Source organism: Homo sapiens, chromosome 11 (assembly GCF_000001405.40).
Source record: "Homo sapiens chromosome 11, GRCh38.p14 Primary Assembly".
NCBI lineage: Eukaryota > Metazoa > Chordata > Mammalia > Primates > Hominidae > Homo > Homo sapiens.
In genome coordinates this window covers 98,594,788-98,602,271 of record NC_000011.10, presented here as the reverse complement: position 1 = coordinate 98,602,271, position 7,484 = coordinate 98,594,788, and the positions used below count along the sequence as shown (strand labels likewise).

The 7,484-nt window shown below is 36.8% G+C and overlaps 1 annotated feature.

The window, feature by feature from the left end:
- Nucleotides 446-945: an enhancer, noted in NCBI's record as "H3K27ac hESC enhancer chr11:98472057-98472556 (GRCh37/hg19 assembly coordinates)". NCBI's record gives its function as "activates a minimal SCP1, AML or CMV promoter by ChIP-STARR-seq in naive H9 embryonic stem cells {active_cell/tissue: H9 hESC(naive)}" and the evidence as "EXISTENCE:reporter gene assay evidence [ECO:0000049][PMID:30033119]".

Below are 7,484 nucleotides of genomic sequence, written 5' to 3'. Positions count from 1 at the left end.
GCATAAATACAGTCAACTAATCTTTGGCAAAGGAGGAAAGGCAACATAATGGATGTCTTATCAACAAATGGTGCTGAAACAATGGATATTAATACACAAAAATAAAATGAATCTAGACACTATTGTTACACCCTTCACAAAAACTAACTCAAAATAGATAACTCAAAATAGATTACAGACCTAAGTGTAAAACAAAAACACTATTAAACTCCTGTAAGATAACATAAGAGAAAATCTAGGTTACCTTGGGTTTGGTGATAATGCTTTAGATACAACACCAAAGGCACAATCCATGAAAGAAAGCGTTGATAAACTGGACATCATTAAAATTAAAATTTTTGTTTGGAGGCAGAGCAAGATGGCAAAATAGAAGTCACCAGTAATCACCCCCCTCTGCAGGAACACCAAATTGCACAACTATTCACAAAAAATATCACCTTTATAAGAACCAAAAATCAGGTGAGATCACAGTACCTGGTTTTAACATTATATTCAAAAAAGACACACTGAAGAGGATAGGAAAGACAGTCTTGAATCATCTGCACCACCCATTCTCTATTCCTTTCACTGTGGCACTGAAAGAAAATCTGCGAGCTTGGGAGAAGGAAAGCACAATGATTGTAGGATATTGCACTGGAACTCAGTGCTGCCCTGTCAAAACAGAAAGTAAAACAGAGAGGAGCTCAGCCAGGGACTATGGAAGGAGCATTTGGATCAGCCCTAGCCGTAAAGGAATTGCCCATCCTGGCAGTCAAAACTTGAGTTCTGGCAAGCCCCACAACTGTGGGCTAATGTACTCTGGAGTACTAAATAAACTTGAAAGGCAGTATACACCACAAGGACTGCAATCCCCGGGCTCTGTGCTGGGCTTGAAGCCAGTGGACTTGGGGTGCATGTGACCTAGTAAGGTACCAGCTGGAACAGCCAATTTGAGTGATTGCATCACCCCTCCCTTAACCCCAGCACCGCAGCTCCCAGCACGAGGAGACACTCATTTCTTCTGCTTGACGAGAGGAGAGGGGCAAGTAAGGAGAACTTTGTCTTGCAGCTTTGATACCAGTTCAGCCACAGTAGAAGGAAGTAGCAGGTAGAGCTCTGAGGTCCCCATTCCAGGCCCTAGCACCCAGACCACATTTCTAGAGACACTGTGGGCCAGAAGGGAAGCCACTGCCTTGAAGGGAAGCACCCAGTCCTGGCAGAAGTTATCACCTGCTGACTTAGGAGCCCTTGTCTTGTATAATCAGTAGTGGTAGCCAAGCAGTACCCACTACAGGCCTTGGGTGGGACTCAGAGCTATGCTGGCATCAGATGTGACTCAGCACATTCCCGCCTGAGATGGTTACAGGGAGAGACCTCCTCTTCTGTTTGACGAAAGGAGAGGGAAAAGTAAAGGGGCATTGTCTCCAGCTTGGGTACCAGCTTGGCCACAGTGGGGTAGAATATCAAGTGGGTTCCCAGGGTCCCTCATACCAGGCCTTGGCTCCTGGATGGCATTTCTGGACCTTCCCTAGGCCAGAAGGGAGCCTACTTCCCTTCAGGGAGAGACTCAGGATGGACAGCATTCACCATAAGCTGACTGAAGGGCCCCTGGATGTTTAGTGAACATCAGCAGCAAAGACGTAGATGTGGACCTGGGGTAATAGTGGCCATATAAAGAGAATCACCTTCTTGAGGAAAGGGGAGAGAAGAATAGGAAAGACTTTGTTTCATGGCTTGGGTGCCAGCTCAGCTGCAGCAGAAGAGAGCACCAGTTAGATTTCATAGGTTTTCAACTTCACGCCCTGGCTCCTGGGAGGCAACTCTGGACCTACCCAGGGCTGAAGAAACTTGCCATCCTGAAGGAAAGGACACGAGCATGGCTCCATGTGTCACCTACTGATTGTAAGGGCCTTGAATAAACAGGTAATAGCAAGGTAGTGGTCACTGCAGACCTTTGGCAAGACCCAGTGCTGTACTGGCTTTGTGTCTGACTCAGCATAGTTTTAATGGTGGTGGCCACCCGGGTGCTTTTATTACCCTTCCCCCAGCTCTAGGCAGCTCAGCAAAGACAGAGATACTCTGTTTGCTTGCAGAAAAGTAAAGGAGCAGAACAAGAGTCTTTGCCTGGTAATTCAGATAATTCTTCCAGATTATACACAAGACCACCAAGGTAGTATTTCTGAGTCTGCAAGAGCCACGACATCACTGGGCTTTGGGTGTTCCCCAAAGCTGATATGGCTACAGTGACATGTGAGCTTTCACACAGATAATTCAAAATAGCTTTTCTGAGGAAGTGAAATGAAATTCAAGATAACTCAGAGAAGGAATTCAGAATCCTATTAAATACATTTAGCAAAGAGATTGAAATAATTCAAAATAATCAAGCAGAACTTATTGAGTAGAGCAATGCAAAGGACATACTGAAGAATGCATCAGAGTCTCTTAACTGCAGAATTAACTAAGCAGAAGAAATACTTAGTTTGAAGACAGGCTATCTGAAAATACAGTCAAAGAAGACAAAAGAAAAAATGATAAAGAATAATAAAGCATGCCTAGAAGATCTAGGAAATACCTCAAAAGGGGAAATCTAAGAGTTTTGGCCATAAAAAGGACATAGAGAGATTGGGGAAGAAAATTTATTCAAAGTGGTAACAATGGAGAACTTCCCAAACCTAGAGACACATATCAATATTCAAGTACAAGAAGGTTACAGAACACCAAGGGGACTTAACCCAAATAAGACTACTTCCAGGTATTTAATAATCATACTGCCAAAGGTCAAGAATAAATATAATATCCTAAAAGCAGCAAGGGAAAATAAACAAATAACATGCAAAGGCATTCCAATATGTCTGGAGCAGACTAAGTCCTTACTTATCAATAATGGCATTGAATGTTAGTTGACTACACTCTCCAATGAAAAGACATAGAGTTGCTAAATAGATTAAAAAAATGAAACAAGCCCCAATGTCCTGTTGCCTACAGGAAACACACTTTCTCTATCAAGATACATATAGAGTGAAAATAAAGCGACAGAAAAAGATATTTCATGCCAATGGAAACCAAAAAGGAGCCAGAATAGCTAAACATATCAGACAATATAGATTTCAAGACAAAAACTATTAAAAAGACAGAAAGAATGTCATTATATAAGGAAAAAGCAGTCAGTTCAGTAAGAGGGTATAAAAAGTATAACTATATATGCACCCAACACTGGAGCACCTAGATATATAAAGCAAATATTATTAGAGCAAAAGAGAAAGACAAAAGTCAATATAAAAATAGCTGGAGAATTCAACACCACACTTTCAGCATTGGACAGATCATCTAGACACTATCAAAAAGACACATTGTACTTAACCTACACTAAAGAACAAATAAACCTAATAGATATTTACAGAACATTTCATGCACTGGCTATAGAATATACATTCTTCTCAGCCCATGGGCCATTCCCAAGGATTGAGTATATGTTATGCCACAAAACAAGTCTTTAACATTTCAAAAATTGAAATAAAATCAACTATCTTCTTTAAACACAATGGAATAAATCTAGAAATCAATAACAATAGAAATTTAGGTAACTATACAGACACATGAAAATGAATTAAAATGCTCCTGAGTGACCAGAGAGTCAATGAAGAAATTAAGAAGAAAATTAAGAGATTTCTTGAAACAAATGAAAATGGAAACAAAACATTCCAAAACCTATGAAATACACAAAAGCAGTACTAAGGGGAAAGTTTATTTCAATAAGTGCCTACATCAAAACAGTAGAAAACCTTCAACTAAACAACCTTAAGTGATTGAACTTAAAGCACTAGAAAAGAGAGCAAACCAAACCCAAAATTAGTAGAAGAAAATAAATATTAAAGATCAGAGCAGAAATAAATGAAATTGAAATGAGAAAAACAATATAAAATATCAACAAAATGGAAATTTGGTATTTTAAAAATATAAACAAAATGACAAACCTTTAGCCAGACCAATTAACACCAAAAGTGAAAATCCTAATGCAAATTATGGACTTTGGGTGATAATGATGTGTCAGTGTAGGTTCCTCAATGATAACAAATGCACTCATCTGGTAAGGGACATTGATAATGGGGGAGGCTAAGCATGTTTCAGGGAAGAGGTTATATAGGACATCTCTGTACCTTCCACTCAATTTTGATGTGAATCTAAAACTGCTCTAATAAATAAAAGTCTATTAAAAAGAAACTCTTGATTTCCATGTTTTTGTTTGAAGGAGTTGTTGCTATGTATAATAGAAGGAATGTGTGTTTACAGAACATTTCATGCTCTGGCTACAGAATATAATTTCCATGTTTTTGTTTGAAGGAGTTGTTGCTGTATATAATAGAAGGAATATATGTTTTACCAAGGGACCCATTTACATTCAAATTTTGTTTCAATCTGTCACATCAAGTAGTAGAATTTCTAAGTCAAATTCCACTTTTGCAAACTGTAAATGATTAAACCCATCTCATGAAGTTATTGTGAAGATTACAGAAAAGCATATATGAAAGCTGCCTTGCATGTTATACTTTTGTGTAAATACAAATGCTTTCACCAGCACCCTTAATTTGCTTCTTATCCCTTAAAAATCTGCCATTGGGCAATAACTTATATCATACACAATATCTTCCTATGTGACAGACTTGCTGTACTCTTTATTATCTAAAAAATACACACCAATGTAATCAATCTCTCTAGGGAAAAAATAAATTGTGTGGGATGTCAATTCCTGAGTGTAAACAGTAATTTGCAAGGTCAAGTCCATCTACAAAATAGTTTTATATGCAGGAGGCCTATGAATTAACCAAAAAAAAGTGTATTTTGACTAAAAGAAATTTAATTCATCCTTAAGGCAAATTAATTATTTTCACCTCAGATATATTTCCAACTAAAATGGGAAAACAAAAACTCTCATTTGTTACCAAGCCCCTAGCCTCGTTACTGGCTTTCCATTTCTCTTCTGAAAGGCTGCTCAGTATTTTGAAACTTTTGTTTCCTGTTCAGCATTAAATTTAAGATTACTTTATAAATAAATTTACAAAAGGCAAAAAATTGAAAGTGTAGTAAAATTCTTAAATTTGATTTATTATCAATAAATGAAACAAGAAAATTAGTAATGGTTTATCTTTTAATTCTGGACTGTAACAGAATTAATCTAATTTTTTATCCTTAAGGTACATTTTAATAAACATGTTTCTAGTAGCAGTAAAACATTCATTAATAAATTCACGCATATTATAAGAGTATATTATGGCAATGTATTAATTTTAAAAAGATAAGCATACCCATTAATCTACCACCCAGGCAAAAACATATTAATAGAAACTTAGAAGCACCTCTGTGTACTCTCTCAATTTCAACTTCCTTGGTTCTCATCAGTAATGATTATCCTACTAACATCACTAAATAATTTTGCCTATTTTAGAACTTTGTGTAAATTGAATACTATATGTCTATAATGTTTCATTTATCTTGATCAATATTATGTTTTGAGATAGCAGATTCAGTTTTGCTGAGTGAATCTTCAGCTTCTTCATTATTATACCATAGCAAATGCCATGGTGACCACATACTGGATAAGTTTATGGAAGTGCACTAAAAGGGACTTTAAGATTTAAAAAATTGTATTACCTTTATTCTCTCAGACAGTTCAGCAACCAAAATCCATTGGATTTCTGGGGATAGCAGACAGGTGAACTAAACATGGATATTATAAGACTACTACACCTGTATGTTTGATGATGATTCTGATGTTGCAATTCACCTTAAATGTAATATTCCTTTTGAGTTAAAATGTTGAACAAGACAGTTCAAAGATAGAGAAGTTACTCCAAAGATAGAGAACTCCAAAGATAGAAGTTACTTCAAAGTTACTCCAAAGATACAGAACCAATATGAGGGTCTATCAATGTCCACTTATATCTATCCCAGTTCTAAAATTAAAGGCCAAGAACACAACCAGAATTACCCATGACTCACTGGGCTTAAGTCCAAACCTTTTTTTTTTTTCACCCAATCTCTGTTAAGTCTCACTCTGAAGATTATTGCATTAGTCTGTTTTCGCACTGCTATAAAGACATACCTGAGACTGAGTAATTTTTAAGGAAAAAAGGTTTAATTGGCTCACAGTTCCACATGGCTGAGGAAGCCTCAGGAAACTTACAATCATGGCAGAAGGAGAAGAGGCACATCTTACAGGGCAGCAGGTGAGAGAGAAAGGTGAGGAGTGAAGGGGTAACAGCCCATTATAAAACCATCAGATCTCATGAGAACTCACTCACTACCACAAGAATAGCATGGGGGAAACTGCTCCCATGATCCAATCACCTCCCACCAGTTCTCTCCCTAGATACATGGGGATTATTGGTAATAAAATTCAAGATGAGATTTGGGTGGGGACACAGAGCCAAACCATATTAATCATAATGTAATTATTGTCAGCTTAGAACACCGTTATCTCATAGAGGGCCTTGGGATAAGGTTAGGAATATTCTTTACCTAATCAATGAAGTATTCTATGGTCTACTGACAAAGCGAGGTTTGTTCTTTCCTTCTGGCAAAGAAAAAAGTGTTATCTCTCACAGTCAGAATGCCTCACAAAAATTTGAATTCCAAGATTATCAGGTTAGCTTCTCCATACCTAAGTCCAGGTCTGAGCCTCACATCCTTTTTCCCCCCAGAATTTTGTCTTGAAAGCCATTAAAAGTGGCTATCTAGTAGCAAAATCCTCATAACAATCATTGTTTTCATACTAATTTGGTGCAGTAGCCACTTGATTACCCAATGCTTTCTTTCCAACTGCATCTCCTGTAAACCAATTAAAGCTGAAATTTATTGTGATTATGATGCCGCTGTGTGTCAGTGGTTGTTACCACCAACCACAACATTTCTACAGTAAGGGCTTCCATGAATCCTACTAATGCCTATATTGGTACTGAAATTTCTGTAGCTTCAACCACAGCAGTCATAATAGAGGTTATTCCAAGACCCAATTTTACTTTGGGAGATCTTTAATAAAACAATCATGGAATCATCATGGATTTATGTCATAATATCAGAGTGAGCTTTGCTAAGGCAGACACAGATGGAAATCAAGGAAAATAACCAATTCCAGGTGAAAAGTGGAACCAAGTAGAAATAGAGAAATATGTAGATATCAGAAAATAAATCATCAGTCTAATTAACTTAGTCAATGTCATATGGGTATACTAGAATATTATAATGGTGTTTTGCTTGCATTTCAATTTTATAAAATTTCTAGTTAAGTCTCTACTATTTTTTAAAGGAATTTTTGTAGGTCTTTTTAATAGAAATGTATAAGCATTTAAAAAAATTATATTTGGCATAATCACATACTTCTTGTGGATAATTGAAGGTGAATTCAAACACATACATCAAACATTTCAGCAAAGGCAAAAACACTTATTAGTTTATCAATTTAGGGAAATTTCTATTCAATTATTAGCTTACTACAAAGAAACCAAATA